This window comes from Homo sapiens, chromosome 2 (assembly GCF_000001405.40).
Source record: "Homo sapiens chromosome 2, GRCh38.p14 Primary Assembly".
Taxonomy (NCBI): domain Eukaryota; kingdom Metazoa; phylum Chordata; class Mammalia; order Primates; family Hominidae; genus Homo; species Homo sapiens.
In genome coordinates this window covers 77,936,872-77,958,315 of record NC_000002.12, presented here as the reverse complement: position 1 = coordinate 77,958,315, position 21,444 = coordinate 77,936,872, and the positions used below count along the sequence as shown (strand labels likewise).

Sequence of the window (21,444 nt, the reverse complement as noted above, 5' to 3'; positions counted from 1 at the left end):
TACTTAACATAATGACCTCTTCTTCCTTCCATGTTGTTGCAAATGACAGTATCTTCTTCTGTTTTATGGCTGAATTTTCTTTATCCATTCATCTGTTGATGATCACTTACGTTGCTTCCAAATCTTGGCTGCTGTGAATAGTGTTGCAATAAACATATGAGGGTAGATATCTCTTCAACATACTGATTTCCTTTCTTTTGGGTATACATCTAGCAGTGGGATTGCTGGATGATATAGTAGTTCTGTTTTTAGTTTTTTTGAGGAACCAACCTCCAAACTGTTTTTTATAGTGTTTGTACTAATTTCCATTCCCACCAACAGTGCACAACTTTTCCCTTATCTCCTATTTCAATAGGAATTTCATTAAATCTGTAGATTGCTTTGGATAGTATAGACAATTTAACAATATTGATTCTTTTATTCAATGAACATAGAATATCTTTCCTTTTATATGTGTCTTCTTCAAATTCTTTCATCAATGATTTACACTTTTTATTGTAGAGATCTTTCACTTCTCAGGTTAAGTTAATTTCTAGGAATTTAATCATGTTTGTGACTATCACATTTTTTATTTCTTTTTCAGATTGTTCACTGTTGACATATAGAAATGCTACTGATGGTCAGGCATGGTGATTCATGCCTGTAATCCCAGCACTTTGGGAAGCCGAGGCAGGCAGATCACTTGAGGTTAGGATTTTGAGACCAGCCTGGCCAACATGGTGAAACCACATCTCAACTAAAAATACAAGTATTAGCCAGGCGTGGTGGCACGCCCTCTAGTCCCAGCTACTTGGGAGGCTGAAGCAGGAGAATCGCTTGAACCTGGGAGGCGGAGGTTGCAGTGAGCCAAGATCGCTTCGCTGCACTGCAGCCTGGGTGACAGAGTGGAACTCCATCTCTAAACAAACAAACAAACAAACAAACGAAAATGCTACTGATTTCTGTACGTGGATTTTGCATCTTGCAACTTTATTGAATTTGTTTCTCTTTTCTAATAGGTTTTTGGTGGAGTCTTTAGGTTTTTCCAAATGTAAGATTATATCATCTGACAACAAGGATAATTTGATTTCTTCTTTTCCAGTTTGGATGCCCTTTCTTTCTTTTTCTTGCCTCATTGCTTTACCCGGGTCTTCCAGTATTATGTAAAATAACAGTGGTGAAAGTCAGCATCTTTGTCATGTTCCAGGTCTTAGAGAAAAGGCCTTTTATTTTTCACCATACAGTATGATACTGTCAGTCTCTAGTGTATGGCTTTTATTATATTGAGATATACTCCTTCCATGCCCAGTGTGATGGTTAATATTGAGTGTCAAGTTGATTGTACTGAAGGATGCAAAGTATTTTTCTTGGGTGTGTCTGTGAGGGTGTTGCCAAAGGAGATTAATATTTGAGTCAGTGGACTGGGAGAGGCCGACCCTCAATCTGGGTGGGCACCATCTAATCAGCTGCCAGCACAACTAGAATAAAGCAGGCAGGAGATGATGGAACAGCAGACTTGCTGAGTCTTCCAGTCTTCACCTTTCTCCCATACTGGATGCTTTCTGCCCTCTGACATTGGACTCCAAGTTGTTCAGCTTTTGGACTCTTGGAATCACACCAGTGGTTTACCAAGGGCTTGCGGGCCTTCAGTCACAGACTGAAGACTGCACTGTCAGTTTCCCTATTTTTGAGGTTTTGGGACTCGAACTAGCTTCCTTGCTCCTCAGCTGGCAGACAGCCTAGTGCGGGGCTTCATCTTGTGATAGCGTGAGTCAATACTCCTTAAAACTTCAATTTATATATACAACTATCCTATTAGTTATGTCCCTGTGGAGAGCCCTGACTATTACACCCAGTTTTTTTAGGTTTTTATCTTTTTGATCGTGAAAGGATATTCAATTTTCTCAAATGCTTTTTAGCATCAATTGAAATGACCCTAAGGTTCTTGTCCTTCATTCTGTTTATATGATGTATCACATTGATTGATTTGCATATGTTGAACCACTCTTGCATCCCTGGGATACATCCCACTTCATCATGATGATCTTTTTAATGTATCGGTGAATTTGGATTGCTGGTATATTGTCGAGAATTTTTGTGTCAATATTCATTGGGTATATTGGCCTGTAGTTTTTCTTATTTGAATGTGTCTCTATCCGGTTTTAGTATCAGGGTAGTATTACTGGCCTCATAGAATGAGTTTGGAAGTATTCCTTCTTCCCCTATTTTTTGGACTAGTTTGTGTAGGATTAGTGTTAGTTTTTTTAAATGCTTCAGAAAATTCAGCAATGAAGGCATTGGATTACTTTTTTACTGGGAGACATTTTATTTCAGCTTCAATCTTATTACTTGTTATTGATTTGTTTAGGTTTTAGATTTCTTCATCATTCAATTTTGGTAGGTTGTATGTGTCTAGAAATTTATCCATTTCTTCTAAATTATCCAGTTTATTTCCATGTATTTGTGCATAATAGCTACTAACGATTCTTTGAATTTCTGAAGTTACCAGTTGTAATTTCTCCTTTTTCATCTCCGATTTTATTTATTTGGATCTTTTCTTTTATTGTTAGTGTGGCTAAAGGTTTGTCAATTTTGTTTATTTTTTCTAAAATTGATATTTTTTCCATTAATCTTCTGTATCTTTTTGTTATAATAACCTATTTTCTTCACTTTACTTCAATTTCATTTATTTCTACTCGATCTTTATTATGTCTTTTCCTCTATCAACTTTGGGTTTGGTTTGCTGTTGCTTTTCTAGTTCATTATGACGTATTATTATGTTGCTTAGTTGAAGGTTTTTTTTTTTTCTTTTTTTATGTAGGCATTTATACCTATAAGCTTCCTTCTTAGTATTGCTTTCCCTGTGTCCCAAAGGTTTTGGTATGCTGTGTTTCCATTATTGTTTGCTTCAATACATTTTTAAATTTTCTTCTTATTCTCTTCAGTGACCCACTTGTCATTCAGGAGCATATTGTTTATTTTTCATTTATTTGTATAGTTTCCAAAATTCTACTTATTATTGATTTTTAGTGTTATTCCATTGTGGCTAGAGAAGATACTTGATAATATTTCAATATTTTTATGCTTTAAGGCTTGCATTGTTGGACGTGGCGTGGGAACCCAGCCCGAGTCAGCGGTCCCAATTGGCTGCTCTCTCTCAGATACAGTTCCCCTTCCTCCCTCCAGGGGGCGCCATGGAACGCAGGGCCCTCCCTGGCCCTGGGGACTGGGTGACGTCAGGGGTGAGCCTCTCGTGATTGGCTCCGTCACCCTGCGTAAGATCAAAGGGAAGAAAGGACAGCCCCAACACCCGGAGCCACTGTGGCTCCGGCCGGTTGCGCTGGCCCTCGGGCCCTCAGGGAGGCGAGGGTGCGAGGGTACGAGTTTGAGGCCAACCTGGTCCACATTGGTTGAAAAAAAAAATTTTTTTATCGTTCCCTATATAACAACAAAACATAAAGGGAGGATGCCTTGATAGGAAGAAATGACATCTTCCTAAGTGTTTTTAAATTACTTCAATGTATCTTTTTTTTTTTTTTTTTTTTGGGAGACCGAGCCTTGCTCTGTTGCCCAGGCTGGAGTGCAGTGGTGTGATCTTGGCTCACTGCAACCTCCGCCTCCTGGGTTCAAGCAAGTCTCCTGTCTCAGCCTCCCGAGTAGCTGGGATTACAGGCCCACGCCGCCGTGCCTGCCTAATTTTGGTATTTTTGGTAGAGACGGAGTTTCACCATGTTGACAAGGCTGGTCTCGAACTGCTGGCCTCAAGAGATCTCGCCCCTTGGCCTCCCAAAGTGCTGGGATTACAGGGGTGTGCCCTCGCGCTCGGCCGTCTCCCGTCTTTCCTAGACTCCTTGATCTCTGTCCTGGCCCCCGGGATCTTTGTCTTCGTCCCCTCTCTAGTTCGCTCCCATCAGATTCACTGTCTTCTCTCTCTGGTCCTCTCCCCTTTGCCTCGGACTGTATCCTCTTCGTCGCTGTTGATCCCACTTCTGCACTGTCCTCGCTGCTGTCTTCCCCCAGTCCTGTCGCCATCCCCATCCCCTGCCTCAGTCTCCTGTGCCGTCGGCCGCTCCACCTGTGACCGTGGAGTCTTTTTCTGTCACTTCCGTCTCTGTCACATCCTCTCTGGTCGCTCCTGGTCGGAGGCCCTGCCTCCCTCGCCTCAGGGCCCTTCCCCGTCTCCTTCTCTTCCTGTCATCCCTGGCTCTTTCCCAGCGTCTTTCCTTCCTTCTCCGAATCGTCCTCTGCTCCTCTGGGTTTGCGCCTGCTGGGAGCTCTGCCCCTGGGAGCTGTTTCCTCCGCTCAGTCTCTGGGTGTTTCCTAGGGGGTCACATGCTCTTCTAGGCCTGTCCTGGGGCAGAGGGGCCACCCTGAGGTCCATCAGTCAGTCTGACCATCCCCTTAGAACCTCGAGCCTCTCGCCTCGCCTCGCCTGACGCCCTTTCCCGCCCTTTATCTTTCCCTTCAGGATAAAAAAATAAAAAGAGTCGGAACAGCTCCCTGAGGAAAAAAAAAAAAAAAAAAAAAAGACTTGCATTGTTGCCTAATGTGTGGTCTACAATTGAGACTGATTCATGTGCTGAGGAGAAGAATGTGTATTCTGCCGTCACTGGATGAGATGTTTTGTAAATATCTATTATGTCCTACTGGCCTGTAGTGCATATTAAGTCCAAATTTTTTGTTGTTGTTGATTTTCTGTCTGAATGAGGTTTCCAGTGCTGAAATGAGTTGTTGAAGTATCCAGCTATTATAGTATTGAGGTCTATCTCCCTATTTAGCCATAATAATATTTAATTTATATATCTGAGTGCTCCATTGTTAGGTGAAAGTGTATTTATAATCATTATATCCTCTTGCTGAATTGACCTCTTTATTATTATATAATGATCTTTGTCTCTTATTACAGTTTTTGTCTTGAAATCTATCTTGTCTGATATAAGTATAGCTACTCCTGCTCTTTTTTAAACTTCCATTGGCATGGAATATCTTTTTTCATTCCTTTTTTTTCAGTCTATATGTGCCTTTATAGGTGAATCATGTTTTCTGTAGCCAATGGATCATTGGGTCTCATTTTTTAAAATCCACTAAGCCATTCTATTTGTTTTTATTAGAGGTTAGTCCATTTACATTCAATGTTATTATTGATAAGTAAGATCTTACTCCTGTCATTTTATTATTTTTTTTTTCTGGTCTTTTTGTGTTCTTTTCTTTTTTCTTTTCTTTCTTCCTGTCTTCCTTTTAATGAAGGTTATTTTCTCCAGTGACATGTTTTAATTTCTTGCTTTTCATTTTGTGTAGCCCTTGTATTATTTAGATTTGAGGTTACCATAAAGCTTGCAAATAATATCTTCTATGCCATTATTTTAAACTGATAACACTGCCAATTAACAAACAGGCAGAGAAAACTAATAGAAACTCTACACTTTATCTCCCCACTTTCTAACTTTTTGTTGTTTCTATGTATATCTTACTGTACTGACTAAGTCTTGTAAAATTGTTGCAGTTATTATTTGTGATCAGTTCATCTTTTCATTTCTCTACTTAAGATATGACTAATTTACAATTACAATGTTATAAGATTCTATCTTTTTCTGTGCACCTGCTATTACCAGTGAGTTTTGTACCTTCAGATGATGTCTTCTAGCTCATTATGTCTTTTTCTTTCAGATGAAATAATCCCTTTTAGTATTTCTTGTAGGACAGATGCAGTCTTGATAAAATTCCTCAGGCTTTCCTGGGAAAGTCCTTTTTTATCTTTCATGTCTGAAAGATATTTTCCCCAGATATGCTCTTCTAGGGTAAAAGGTTTTTCCTTTAGCCCTTTTACATTTTATGCCAATGTCTTCCAGTGTGTAAGATTTTCAATGAAAAAAAAGTGCTGCCAGACATGTTGGAGCTCCATTTTATGTTATTTGTTTATTTTCTCCTGCTGCTTTTAGGATCTTTTCTGTATCTTTGACTTTGGGAGTTTGGTTATGAAATGCCTTGAAGTAGTCTTCTTTTGGTTGAATCTGCTTGGTGTTTCATAACTTTCTTATACACGAATATTTATGTCTTTCTTTAGGGTTGTAAAGTTCTCTGTTATTATCCCTTTGAATAAATTTTTACCCCTATCTATCTACTTTTAAATTAAGGTCAAGAACTCTTTGATTTGCCCTTTCGAGGCTATTTTTAGATACCATTGGCATGCTTCATTATTTTGTATTTTTTGTTCTTTTGTCTCTTCTTTTCAAATACCCTGTCTTGAAACTCACTAATTCTTTTTCTGCTTCATCAGTTCTGTCATTAAGCGACTCTGATGCATTCTTCAGTATGTCAATTGCACTTCTCAACTCCAGAATTTCTCTTGATTATTTTTAATTATTTAAATTTCTTTGTTAAGTTTGTCTGATAGGATTCTAAATGATTTCCCTGTGTTATCTTGAATTTCTTTGAGTTTCCTCAAAACAACTATTTTGAATATTCTGTCTGAAAGGTCACATAACTGTTTCTCTGAAATTGGTCTCTGGTGTCTTATTTAGTTCATTTGATGAGGTCATGTTTTTCTGTATGGTCTTGATTGTTGTGAATGTTTTTCAGCATCTGGGCACTGAAGAGTTGAATGAAGCCAGTGAAGCTTGTGTACTTCACTTAAGGGTGGCGAGTTTCCTCAGACCCTAAGCACATACAGAGATGCCATTTGAAAGCCAGGGCCTGGAGTTGGAAATCTTAGAAATCTACCTGGTGCTCTATTCTCTTGATATTGAGCTAGTGCCAAAACCACTAGAAAAAGTCCTTCCTATTTTTCCCTTCCGTTTTGGCAGGCAGAGGAGTCCCTCCCTGTGTCCACCACCATCACAAGCCCAGGGCAAGTACTGCTAGAGGGCTGCCTATGATCAGATCTTCTGAGAACATCAGAGAAAGACTGTCCTTGCAATCTACACTACAGCAAGACTTCAGGACCTTGAACTTCAGGTTCATAATCTCACAACTGAGAAGGATCCTTCCACACTCTTGGAACAGTGCACCCATTGGAACTCTGAAGGTTAAGCTCACCAGGAAAGTTTCTCTCCAGAAGAAGATAACACCCTTAATGTGAACAGCTTTTCCCAAAATCACGGATTGAAACTTCTCTACACTCACGAGACTCTTATCTTTGAATATTTTCCCTTGGTTATGCTTCTGTGAACAATAGACGTGAAAAGGGAGTCTGTTGTGTGCACTTATGGGGCACACTTTTATGTGTGAAGGATTTTTCAGCCAGCCTTATATATGGATGACCTTATAGTTTAAGAGATAAAAGACAAAGACCCAATGCAGGTAAGAAACTTTGGTGGTACATATGTTGCCTGATAGTCAGTAAGAAACAGAACATTGATTCATTCCTCTTAACCCACATTATGGGTTAAAGAGAACATTGCCAGGAGGCCTTCACTCTTCTAGAAGGGCACAGCATCATTCATTAGGTTCTTTTTCCATGGTTTAAAGTAGAAGAGGCAATGATTAAAAAATGTATCCCTTATGATAGGCTCTATAGCAGATTCTACTGTAAAGGCTATGATTTCAAAATAAAATTTAAGTTATGTAAAATGTTGCTAAATAATGGAATTGGCTAAACAGAAAAATATCTGTGCAGCTGCTGGCACTTATGGCCTGTGGAGAAAACATCGGGTATTGTAGAGATTCGGGTGTCGGAGATTAACAAAGAGACCACCTAGTTAAGCGAGTAGACCCTTTATCTAACTCATTCTTTGATCTATTTGATTTTAGGTGGTTTGGTTTATGGGAACCCTGGGTAAGGAGCATACTCCAAACTCTTGGTGTTATCCTCTTGATAGTCATAATAGTAGTCTTTCCGGTGCTCTACATTCTCTCAAATGTTTGCATACAGCCATCTCTAGAAAGTCAAATGGTCTCTCTTCAATTGAAATCACAAGACCTGAAAGAAATGTACAATCATGAGGACGCCATACCCTATAAATGATATGCTGAGAACAGAAACTCAAAATGATGGTAACAGAGTGGCGCTAAGGCCCTAAGTTTTGATCACACTCTCACCTAAGTGAGAACCTAGCCAAAAAGGAAGAATTAAAAAAATATATATCAGAGGCTATTGTTTTGGGCTGAGCTTAGGCACTAGACCCCAAAAGACCAAATCAAACCAAAATAAATTCGCTTGTGTTAAATGTCACATATTCAAACTAAGACTTTAAGAAAATATGTAGATCCTAGATCAGAAAAGGAAAAGTTGTGTTTTTCTCCTGAAAACAGGATGTTCCAGCATAAAGAGGTACCCTCTACTCAGTCCTCACTCCCAACTTACATAACCTACTGTTTCAAGACCAATGACAACATCATAACTAAAGTTTTGGTCAATCTCTAAAAACTGAGAAAATGACAAAAAGGGGGGAATTGTTAATCAAGTGTAGCCTCAAGCTGCCTCCTTACATATTTAAGTTGGCCTAAAGGTTTTTCTGTACATGATGAACTATAACAGGTGGAGGCGTAAACCAATCATAGCCTACGCCTATGCCAATCACTGAGCTTTGGCCAATCAAATGTAGCCAACTGTTTGAACCATGTTCAAATAAGGCAAACCAATCCAGCTGTTTCCGTACCTCACTTTGTATTTTTGTACATAATTTCACTTTTTTTTTTTCTACAAATCTTCTTCCCACCATGTGGCTGTGTTGGAGTCTCTCTGAATCTGCTGTGATTCTGGGGACTGCCCAATTTGTGAATTGTTCATTGCTCAAACTCCTTTAAATTTAATTCAGCTGAAGATTTTTTTTTTAATACCAAGAAGTTCAAGAAAGCACCCTATGAAATTAACAATCTTCTTAATCCATAGAACGTGAAGAAGTCAGGGTAATGGGTGCCAATGAAAAACAATTATGTACTATTTTGTAACTCTCCTCCTTCCCCATTTCAGCCAAAGATGGGGTCAGATAGCCTCTTGCCATTTGGAAAGAAGATGAGCAAAAATGTAGAAAAAGCAAACGCAACTCCTATCCCCAACATTGTCAGCACCATTGCTGTAAACTGACAAAGAGATGTGTCCCTAAAGTAAGCTACATTTACCATTAATTCTTCACTCCCCCACGGAAGCATTCTGGTCTAATGAATGCCATCACGAACATTTCTGATCACTCCAATCTTCCCAGGAAGAATCCTCCTCCCTTCTATTTTATCTTTCAGACTGTTTATCTCTGGCTCTTTACAGCGGATCATGTGACTCAATCACTAACCTCTTATGAACCCCCAAATACTCCAGTTTGTAACTCATGATCAAACGATCCTGTAACATCTTTAGTCCCATCTTTGAAAGTTTGTTTCCCCCCGCCACTACACTGCTTTTAATGACTCTCTCAAGAAAATACTATTTTATATACACTCTACATACAACCATGTCTAGAAGCGAGGCAGTTGTTGTCCTTGTTCCATGTAGCATCTTTCTACCCCTTCCTATATATGAGAATATAATTCTCATATATTCACTAAATTACATTTCCTCTGTAATAATATCCCACTTTACAGTATAACCTATACTTTTCTTTCTACTTTTTAAAATCAGTATAATAATAACTGTAATATTTATGGTCTTAAAGAAGAAAAATCAGTCTTTTGAACCTAGATTCTTTACCAGTTGGTTTCTTACTTTTATGCTGTCTTCTATGGTGAAACAACTTAAATACTTAGTGTTTTGCTTTCTCTACTATCTTATTTCCCACTCTGTTTAATAGTCATATCAGTCAAACTTTTGTCTCCACAGTGTATTTTTTATTCTGTGTTCAAAGATCACCAATGAGATTCCCAGTTGCCAAATCCAATCTTTAGTTTTCATCTTAGTTCCTCTGAGCAACATCTGAAAAAGGTAGTCATTTCCTTTTTGTTTGTTTGTTTGAAACATGTGAAACAATTAAGAATAAAAGAATAGCAAGTAAGCCAGAATAATAGTAAGTTTATTTTAGAATATTTTGAGTTTAGTTTAAAATATGTGTGTGTAAATCTTTATCTCTGTAGACTAAGCTCTGTCTTGGAGTTTATTTTGCATGTTTATTAAGGTATATCCCTTGTTCCATTAGAGATCCCAGCTAAATGGATAGCATATGATAAACGTTTGTACATTTTGATGTGACTTTGGATTACCCAAGAATATTTGGATAGCAGAAAAGCCTTGGTTGATAATACCATTTGGGCATTGCACAACTCTTAGGTGGCAGTTCCATAAGAACGGAAGAGAAATCATGTAGAATAAGAAACAACAAAGACAAAGAAGAGAGGACTAGGAACCAGTAGCCTGCAAGAGGCGTGCATGGTTAGAAAACAGTATTAGGCTGTAAGAAATGCTCAAAAATATTCAATGTTCACCATTATGGGAAAATGAGTAAATTATATAAACAGAAATAGTAAATCAATTTTTACTGCATTATTAATGAACTTAAAATAAAAATTGATTATGTTATCTGATAAAGCATGCTAATCACATGTAAATTATTATTTTTACCTAAGCTATTATTTGAAATGACCACATATTATGTGTACTTAAAAATATGTGTAGGTATCACTATGTAAGAATTTAGTGCATCTAAAAATAACTTCTGCTTCCACCAATAAATTACCCTAAAATGAAGAGAAAAGCAGATTCCAGAACTTGTTTCTTATTATTTCTATAATGATAGGACTGAAATGGCAGTTTAATGACAGTAGTCCCAGTAACCCCATTCAGAGAAAGAAGTGAGAATTGCACATTTATTTTAGCAAATAAGCATGCAGTTAATTACAGGTCTTGGCTTTAGTCTGCCTTTCTCTTGCATTTTTGGAAGCTAGATTCACATAGTTCATTAAAATAGCAGTTTTTGTAAGAATTACAATGTTTCTTTAAAAAATACAGATATAAGAACTCATCTGCTACCTAAGGGGAAAATGCTTCCCTTTTATTGTAGTGAGCCAATAACTATTTATTGCCTAAACAAATGGACAATTGAATGGTGGAGTATTACCAATATTGATGTTCATCTAGCTTTCAAATAACTTTGTGCTAACCACCATATTTGTTTTCCATATATGCCTTAACTGCTTGCACTCTGAATGTCCTGTGTTTTTGTGTACTGTTCATTGGAATTATAATAGATTTTTAATCTTAAAATGTGGACCAAAAATGGATATTTATGTTATATAAATATGGTAAAAGAAGTACAAGTTGCTTCAAAACCCTGTGATGACAATGCAATGGGAATTCAGGGGTCCCCTGTAAGCTTAATATGAAGAAATGAGGAACATAGAAGCAGCCGTGGTCTCGTGGTTGGCCACCTAAGGATTTCACAAAGAACGCATAATATATATAAATATCACAAGGAACAAATAATTTCCCATAGGTAAAGATAAAAGGGATTCTAAACAAAAGCGATAGAAAAGCTCCACATAGCTAAATGTGGCCACATCAATGCAGTCTGTACAAGGAACTGAGTAGCTGCGAACTCTCAGTCCAACTCCAGTAGCAAAAGGTGTTAAACTAATCCCTTTAAGGTGTCACACTAGATACTTGCTGTGGTGAACTTTTGATCATCCCAAAGCACACAGTGAGATCGAATAGCATCCTTTTGTATTGCTCCTGAAATAATGGGGTCTAATGAACATTAGGTCCTATGGAAATTGGTCCTTGTGGAGTTCATATTGTATTTACTCCACTCTACAATTAATAAGGAATAGAGAAAAAAAGAAGCCTACTCCAAACTACCTATATTTTTATTACAACACCCAAATAAATGAGACTGTGCTTTATGGGTCTGAATTGAAAAATACTTTAATAGTACTTTTCCAAAAATGGAGGAAAATTGGGAGTTTTATCAAGTGTTGTGATCTTTAAATTTCAACAACAGTAAGATCCTAACGTGGAAACATATTTCATATATGCTTCAGACCAATGTTCTCCTGTTATCTTTGAAAAATCTATAATTACAGTCTAGGAAGTTCAGAACTACTGAATCAGATACTAGTTTTATATGCATAATTTTAAGAGTTTTTTGACTATGTGTTGCAGAGAAAAACTTTAGAAGTAGATACCACAAGGGATACTGCAAGCTAAAAAATATGAGTACATTTATGCAAAAATAATGAAGTCACTCCTTCTTCAAGAATGAAAGATCTCCCACAATTGTCTCCCAGTTCAGCCAATTATCACCTTAACAACCCACCTTTCACATTAAGGTGAGCAGTTACACTGCTGAGAGAAAAGTAATAGTATCTTCACAGATACGGCATTACCCATATCTGGCAGTAGGGTTGTTTGCCATAAGTAACTAAATAAGCTCATGCTTCAGGAACCTCCAGTGGAATTCGGTCATCTTAATCACCTCTGATAGATAAAATGCAATAACCTTGTCTTTGCCAACCCCCAGAATTTATGAAATATAGCAATGTGCAATTAGCATTCACAAGTCCCTCATTATAAGTGATCAATCCTGGACCCTGGAGCCAGGATACTACTGTATTTATTCTCCTCAACATCCAGCATCAATAATACATCAAAATTAAGCAAACAGAACATTAAATATAACCTGCATGGCAATTTTGGGAAAGGTAAAGTATTGAACATCTAACTTTGTTCAATAATATGCACAGATACACATCCACATGTGTACATGAGACTAGTAAGGATATACATGGTTAAACAATGCTTCACTAACTAGAATATTAGAATACCTCAGCAACATAAATGAAAGAAAAACAAAAATCTAGAGGGAACTGCAAGCTGATAGGCAGAGTCTTTTGTGCAAACCTTAGTATTTTACTGACTAACAAAATTAAAGTAGTTCCTGTCCTGTTTGAATAACCTATTTTAATCACATTAACATGTTCATTTTAATGTTTTTTTTTTAATAATATGGCATAGTACACCAAAAATCTGGTTGCTCGTAAACGATAACCATTTACTTAATATCTAAAGCTAAAAATTCTAGTGTCATATTTTATTCTTCTCCCTTTATTACTCATGCATTCATGATTTCACCACATTTTGTGAACGTTAACAGAAAGGAAGTTCCTGATACAGATAATTTTTATCCTAAATAGGGTTCCATTGAGGCACATATTTGTGAACAATAGATAATCTCTCTTTCTGAGGTATACAAACAGCACCCTAATATATTTCCCTGCCACGTTCTTGAAATTCCAATCTACTCTCTACTTTGTAACCAAAGTTGTCATTCTCAATATTGAAATTGCTCATACATTACTATGTTAGGCTGAATACAACTCTTCACCACACACCCCCCAATGCCCATTCAGATATGATTATGTTAAGGATCTTGAGGTGGGGAGATCATTCTAGATTATTCAGTGGGCTCAATGTATTCACAGGTGTCATTATAAGAGAGAGTCAGAGGAAGACTTCACTACAATAAATAAATAAATAAGATGTGATGCTGGAACCAAAGGTTGATATGACATGCTTTGAAGGTAGTGGAAGAACACCTGGGCCAAGAAATGCAGGTGGTCTTTTGAGGCTGGAAAGACAAGGAAATAGATTCTTCCCTGAACTCTCCAGAAGGAATGCAAACCTACCAACGTCATAATTTTTGACTTACAAACCCCGGAAATGAAAAAGAATCAATTTATGTTGTTTGGAGTAAGCTAGTAAGTTTGGGGTATTTTGTTACGGTGGCAATAGGAACCTAGTACAAATTTTAGTACCTGAAAGTGGAATGTTGCTGTGATAAATACCCAAACATGTAGAATTGGCTTTGGGATTGGGCAATGGGTAGAGTCTATAGAAGAATTTTCAAAAACACAGTGGGAAAAGTGTCAGAATCTTAGCTGAATTGCTTCCTAGTTACAAGGAAAGCAGAATTTGTAAGCTGAGATTTCCTAGGAAAATATTAAGGATGTGCCCTAGTTTCTTCTTGATGCCTGTGGTAAAATGGGAGAGGAAAGATAAATTGAGGAAAACATGCTATGTAAAAGGGAATCAGGACTTGATTATTTGGGAAGTCCTCAGCTGATTTAAATTGCAAAAGACAATAACATTGGGAAATGTACTGTCAGAAAAGCACCTTCAGGAAAGAAAGCCAAGAGGGTGATTGACAACCTTTTTAATGCCTGAGAAGGACAAAAGTTCACAATATTCAGTCACACAGAAGACTCTTTGAAGGGATCATATAACACATGGATCCCCTCAGCCAGCTCAGCAGAAGCCAAAAGTAGAAATGATATAATCTAGGAAAAACCTGTGGAGAAACTTCTTGTCTAATGGCAGGAATCCCTAGGACATACATGGGGACTTTACAATGTTCTTGAGGATAGCAGCAGAAATATTATCAGCATCAATCGAAAGAAACAGACGGGGCAAAATGAATGGAGGTCATCAGAATACCAAAATTCTGCAGACAGGAAACAGGTTCATAAAACTACTCAGCTGCAAGCAGATGCTACCCTTTATGAAAAAAAAAAGAATGACTCAGAGGTCAGAGACTTGGGCACAGAGGATTAAGCTGAGGGCCACAGCGGTGAATCTTGGTGGGTGAAACTTGGACACGGGATGAAAATGAGAGCTACAGATTATTTCTAGGCCTTAAAACCTAATAGAGTTTATCTGGTTAGATTTTAAATTTGTTTGGGACTGGTGACTCCTTTCTTCCATTTTCTCCTTTTTGAATGGGGATGTCTATAACTCTTATATTATTACTGCCCCATTATTGTTTTTTGGGATCAGAAACCTGTTTTACAGCTTCACAGGTCCAGAAATTGTGAGGTATTTTGCTAGACATTTGTTCATACCCAGATTCTCACCCATACCTGATTTAGGAAAGATGGATAATGAGATTTGGGACTCTTGAAATGACATAGGTGAAGTTTTGGACCGTGAGTTGATGTTATAATTGGTTGAACTGTTCAGGAATGTTGGGATGGAGTGAATGTATTTTGCATTAGGAATGGATCTGAATTTTGCTGGACCAGTGGACAGACTCTATTAGGCTAATTAGTGACCCCCAACATATCCATGAACTAATCCTCATAATCTATCAATATGTTACTTTAAGTAGCAATAGGAACTTTACAGATGTGATTAAATATCTTGAGATGGGGAGATTCTACCAGATAGGACTGATGCATCTAATACAACGACAAGTATCCTTATAATAGAAAGATAAAGAGATTTAGCTGCAGAAAAATGATGTGTTGAGGGAACCAGAGATTGGAGCAATGCACTTTGAAGATGGAGGAAAGATCATGAATAATGGAATGTAGATGGGCTCTAGACACTGGAAAAAACAAAGTCAGGGATTCTCCCCTAAGATGTCCAAAAGGAATGAAATCCTGCAAACATCATGATTTTAGACCTCTGACCTCCAGAAATATAAGACAAATTCATGTTGTTTTAAGCTACTAAGTTTGTGGCAATTTGTTTCAACAGCCTGGGAAACTCATAAAATTACCTTAATTACCAGAAAGCAAATTGGTAACTTTACACCCCTTAAGGACAAAGTCCAAAGGTATCATGACTCTAAGATATTTATACCCTAGTCCAAAAATACCTCACAAATCATGTTTATAATTAAATGCACTTATGAACTACACTCTAATTTCCATTGGTTTTCTAACATGACCTATCAATGTTAGATAAATATATCATGAATATTTTTCTATTTCTTAAGTGCTTTCTGTGAACTTTATCACTTGCTAAATCATCCTTTTCTCTAATTATTAGCTTAAATTTCACTTACCCTCTGTACTCTCCTTTAACTCTAAAAGAGGGATGACCTACTCCTCTCATGTAAGCACTATCATGGCCATACTTGAACTATACAAATTGTTTTCTGTCATTTGCATCAGAAATTACACATCTGGTTCTCCTACAAGATTGAGAAATTCTTCATAAGGAGGTCTGTGCCCTAATCATTTCTCCATCTGTTATTATTAGCAACCTGTCTGATACAAAGTGGTAGGGAAAAGGATTCAATGTATATTATTAGCTGGATCTATGAATTTACAAATGTATGAAAAAAATGAATAGATAAGTGCATGAATGAGAGAAGGAATAATAAAACTTATATGCAGTATTGGAATAACATTGCAGCTAAATGAAATACCATCAAATATGCAAAGGGTATAAAATAATATTTAAATATTTGAATTGATCTTGCTTCAGGGCACATATTTGATGAATGTGATATGCATGAAAGATAAAATGAAAATAACTGCTCGAGGGCATATAAAATAGTTCTTCAAAGAAGAAAGATAACAATTTCCCATGTATTATGATTAGATAATCTGTAAAATGACAGTAATAATGTACATATGCAGGATTTGTAATAAAGTGTCATTGTTCTCCACTGAAAAAGGAGAATAAAAGAAAATAAACTAAAATGTCCTAAGAATAATTTTAAGTTAGACCTAAAACAGAACAAAGAAAAAAAATAATGTACTACCACAGTAATTCAAATGGTCCAAGTAATCCATATACCTGCTCTTTTTTTGTAGAAAACAGGATAGTGATAGTAATTCCCTGCCTACATTTTGAGTTCCATTTCTATTCTAAAAAAAAATGAACTCTGTTGTGTTTTGAAGAATCAATGCGCTTTTCAAGCATCTATTTGTGAAATTTATCCAATTCCTTGAAATAAATCTTTTTCCACATGTAACTGTAAAGTGGCTTTTTCGTTTTTTTGATAATCAAAATTCATGTACTTATTTATTCAGAATGTTTATGAGCATCTTCACATTTCCAAACACTATAATAGATACTGCAGATATTATTGTGAACAAAAACAGGCACAGTTCAGGCCTACAGTCCAGTGGTAAGAACAAAAATTAAACAATTATAAAATGTACCCATAAATATAAATGGGCATAAGTTCTATGAAAGGAAAGGACATAGTTCCATAAAATCTTGTAATAGACAAAACTAATTTTATTTAGTGGGAAGGAAATTTCTATCTGAGAAGTTTTTTTGTTCGTTTGTGTTTTTTTGTTTGTTTGTTTGTTTTGAGATGGAGTTTCGCTCTTGTTGCCCAGGCTTGAGTGCAATGGTGCGATCTCGGCTCACTCCAACCTCTGCCTCCCAGGTTCAAGTGATTCTCCTGCCTCAGCCTCCCGAGTAGCTGAGATTACAGGTGCCTGGCTAATTTTTTGTATTTTTTGTAGAGCTGCGTTTTCACCATGTTGGTGAGGCTGGTCTCCAACTTCTGACCTCAGGTGATCTGCCTGCCTTGGCCTCCCAAAGTGCTGGGATTACAGGCATGAGCCACTGGCCACTGAGAAGATTATATGTGTTTATATGTGAGATTTTGTGGATGAGTAGAAGTTAATTTGGTAAAATCTATATGAGTGTTACCTTTATCTTAGATTGAATAATACTTGTTGAAAAAGTGGCTGTGAAGTTTGATATACTTGTAAGGAAAGGGTTTTTAAAGTAGAAGAAAACAATAGCCAAAGCTCAATAATAAAACAATAATGAATAATAAAAGTATTAAATAATTCAAATTAAATTCTGATTTGGCAATGGAGCTATGGAGTGGGAGAAAATGACAGAGAAAAAAATGGTATATTTTGTTTGGGGTTGTAATATAAATTGTTCATTCCTATTTATTTAGAGACCCAGTCTTGCTCTGTTCGTCAGTTATGGAATATAGTGGAATGATCACAGCATGCTGTAATCTCGACCTTCTGGGCTCAATCCTCTCACCTCAGCCTCTGATTAGCTTGGACTACAATTGTGCAATACCATGCCAGGCTAAATTTTTCTGAATTTTTTTAGAGATGGGGTCTCACTGTGTTGCCCAGGCTGGTCTCAAACTCTTCGGCTTCAGGGATCCCCTTTCCTTGGCCTCTCAAAGATGGGATTATAGGCATGAGCCACCACACCTGACCCATTCCTAATCATTATAATATAAATTAAAATCAGTTTGGTAAAATTTTTAAACAATTATTAGTACAATGTGTCTACAAATAGGACACAGAATATTTTTTCAATGCAAGAATGAAAATTTAATAAACCCAGCAAAAACAGAAGAAAACTCAATAAATAGAATGACAAGATTATTACCTAAAATAAGAACAAGGGATCACTATAGTTGTGAAGAGGGCTAAATGCCCTGTTAAAAGGTAACAAATTTCAGCATATTGCTTAGATTCTGCTATATGCCATTTTCAAGATACTATTTTTCAAACAAAATGTTTTCTCTCTTTTTCCAGTGTGATAGGCAACCTTGAAATGGCCCCAGATAATCCCTGCCTCCAGGTATTCATGCTGTTGTCTAATTTCTTCCCCTTGCAGATGGGCTGGATTTGATGACTTTCTTATATCAAATAGAATATGACAGAAGTGATGGTATGTCACTTTCACTTGAGGTTTTGTTTTGCTTTGAAATAAATATATTAATCTTCACTGGGTAGATCTGTGACATGACAATGCCACTCATCTTTTATGTGGCAGTTTTTTTTAATCACATCTCCATCTCCTTTTTACAGACTAACAAAATGATATTTGTGTCCAGAACCAGTTAAAGAGCTGTGGCAGTTCTAAGGTAATCTTTAGCATTCTTTGCTCATTTTATCAGCTTCATTTGAACGGCTTATGTAACCCTCTTCTGCCACAAGTATATGAGTTAAGGGACTTTTATGGTGGGTATGAGAAGGCTTTACTTTCCTAAAGACATAAAATAATCATAATCATAATAAATGAGTGATGTCCTTCCCTCCTGTTCTTTGATTTTAATGGTGGATGAGCAGAGCCACAACAGCCATGTTATAGATACCAGAGAAAAGCAATGACAGCTATGACATCATAGAGCAAGTTTGTCAAATTCAGCGGCAGCTGTTTTCTAGACATCTCATCATATGAGAAAAAACAAACCTGATTTTATTATGACACTGAGAGTAAGATTCTATAACTTGTTGCCCCAAATATCCCTGATTTGTTACTCATGAGAAATATACATACTTAGTATTGACACATCAGAATCTCAAATATACTTTATAAAGAGCCACCAAAATAATGACACCTATAAGTAGTCTGGGAAGGCAGTCCACTGTCCTACCCTTATCATCCATTTGTCTACCTAAATAACTTGCTCTAAGTATATACTGTGTTTCGGTCCCAAGCGATATGATAGTAGTATTAGTTAGAAGTGATATTTCTGGCTCATTTATCTTCAGAGATTTTATTCCTTAGAATCTTAGTATGTTCTAAATGCAGAATCTGAGGTTACAACCTCAGCCAGAATTCTGAAAATAGCCACCACAATCTATTTTAAAAAGCAGAAAATTATTCTATAGGAACCTCATGTATCTGTGTTACAATTCTATTCTGTTCTAATATAAATTAATATTATAGTTGCAGAATATTTCATTATATTTGTAAAAAGAGTGAGTCTGAGAACCAAGGAAGCAACACATATGCCTGAGTCAAAAATTCTACTAATGTTTTCTTTTCCCTTTGGAAATGTTAAATGGGCTGATTAAATTAAGGATTTTCATGTTCATTAATCGTAAGTGGGTAGCTCATAGCCATTAAATATTTGTGCTTATTTATAAACCATTATAGACTCAGAATAAAGTGAACACTGGTAGTTTTGAAGAATTAAGTATCCAGGTATTAGGTTTAGAATGTTGATTGTTGAGGAGGTTGTTTTATTTGCTAAGTAAATTTGAATTAGATTCTATGTCACAACTGCCTGTTGGACTAGAACTGTATGATGTAACATGGTTTACTGTGAAGAAACCTAATTCAGACGAAGAAATATCTGAGTTTCTTTTTAGTTTCTGGCATTTTTTATATAAGTGATCTTTAGCAAAACATTTCTGAACATTCATTTTCTCATATGCAAAAATAGGTAATAAAATGGTTAACCTGTTGGAATGGAATGTCACTGTAATCATTAATGCTGGTGACCAAATGTATCTGATCTTTCCTTTTTTGAGCACATGGTATTATTGCACTTTTTCACTTCTATGGGTTGGGTGGAGCCAGGTGACTTGTGCCAGCCAATAAGTTGTGAGCCAAGAGCTGTTTCTTTGGGCAGGGGAATTTAATTGCTGTAACCAGATCAGCAAACGTTGTCTTTCCCTCTGTGCTAATGGCAAGGAATGTTATGTGTAGTAGCTATTCCATGTCCCAGAGAAAGGACAACACAGAGAACAATCCAAGCAACCCTCGATGGACATGTAGAACAAGCAATAAGTAAGCCTTCCTTTTTTAAGCCTCTGACCTTTTGGTAATTTTACTGCTTCACAACCTAAAATATCTTTGGTGACAATTCTTAAGATGACTAGAGCTAAAACAAAAAAAGAAAAGGAAACTATGCTAGTTCTGAACATTTGAGGGTGTCTAATAAGACTCACAGTTACTATTGGGAATAGTCATTGTCTTTGTCACTTGGTAATTTTAAAATTTTTCTGGTAACTGCATACCAGAATAAAATGACTAATTTTAATGACCAGTGAGGTAGTTTCCACCTATAGGTTGAAAAGTAAAGAGAATTTTAAAAGATGTGATTGAGGCCAGGGGTTGTGGCTGTCAACTGTAATCCCAGCACTTTGAGAGGCCTAAGCGAGAGGATCGCTTTAATCTCAGGAGTTTGAGACCAGCCTGGGCAACATAGTGAGACCTCCTCTCTACTAAAAATAAAAAAAAAAAATTAGCCAAGCATGATGGCAGGAGACTGTAGTCCCAGCTGCTTAGTAGAGGTTGAGGTAGGAGGATCGTTTGAGCCTGGGAGATACACGGTGCTGTTAGCTTGATCACACCGCCGCACTCCAGCCTGGGTGACAGAGTGAGAGACCCTGTCAAAAAAAAAAAGACATGATTGAATAAAATGACGGAAAAATTCTGCTGTATCTAATAGTGAAGACTGACAGGAGCTTCATTCTCTAAAGCTAGGTTTGATATCTAGAGCCTAGGGTAACTGACAAAGGTGGCAGTATTTTAAAGGAATTAGCTTCTATAGATTTCAGTTGTTTTTCACAGGAAACCAGTAAACCAGTTAATGTTTTCTTGAGACAATAGTAATAAATAATAATAGAAGTCTTCAAGCCAGAACATGAGTAGCAATGATACTTTCACATTTTATGCTTCAGTGGTTTCTATGGCATAAACTGAAAAAAAGTTTCTGTCTCTGGATTTACTATGGTACTTTCAAATGGCAACCACAGTTAAAATTATATATAGTATGAAAATATATAATGCATATATGAAGTCTGTCTCTCTCCCCGCTCTTTCCCTCTCTCCCTCCCCACTCTATGTATAGAAAAACACTCTCACACACCCACACAAATATGTAATTTTATTGTTTCAAAATTAAGAAAATATTTCCTCTGCACCAGGAAGTCATTAGAAAGAATTATTGTATCTCAAAATTGTTTTGTTTTCTCAATAATATCTTCAAATCTCATAAAATTATTTAAAATGCATAATATATTATATTGCATCTTTTAATCTATGTCAAAAAGGACAATTAACACTATAAATTTATGATATAATATTAT

General features: G+C 36.7%; 2 long non-coding RNA genes and 1 other non-coding gene across 8 annotated transcripts in view; all 3 read left to right on the top strand.

Annotated features, from left to right (window-relative positions):
- The window catches only part of LOC101927967 (uncharacterized), a 547,036-nt gene that overhangs the window by 332,416 nt on the left and 193,176 nt on the right, over nt 1-21,444 (top strand). The gene's annotated exons all lie outside the window — the stretch shown is intronic.
- Nucleotides 3,282-21,444, top strand: part of LOC105374817 (uncharacterized) — a 30,572-nt gene continuing 12,409 nt past the window's right edge. The window contains exons 1-6 of one of the 6 annotated variants that reach the window (XR_940265.3): nt 3,282-3,356; nt 6,783-7,278; nt 9,731-9,832; nt 13,321-13,596; nt 18,154-18,199; nt 18,430-18,485. This is a non-coding gene — a long non-coding RNA (uncharacterized LOC105374817). Of the gene's footprint in view, nt 3,357-4,502; nt 4,605-6,782; nt 7,279-8,713; nt 9,025-9,730; nt 9,833-12,014; nt 12,169-13,320; nt 13,597-18,153; nt 18,200-18,429; nt 18,486-21,444 lie in introns of those variants that run through there. The other 5 variants (XR_940266.3, XR_940268.3, XR_001739552.2 and 2 more) reach the window with 5 other exon arrangements.
- Nucleotides 3,290-3,409, top strand: SNAR-H (small NF90 (ILF3) associated RNA H). The gene has a single exon (NR_024342.1). It is a non-coding gene; the product is annotated as a small NF90 (ILF3) associated RNA H (small nuclear RNA).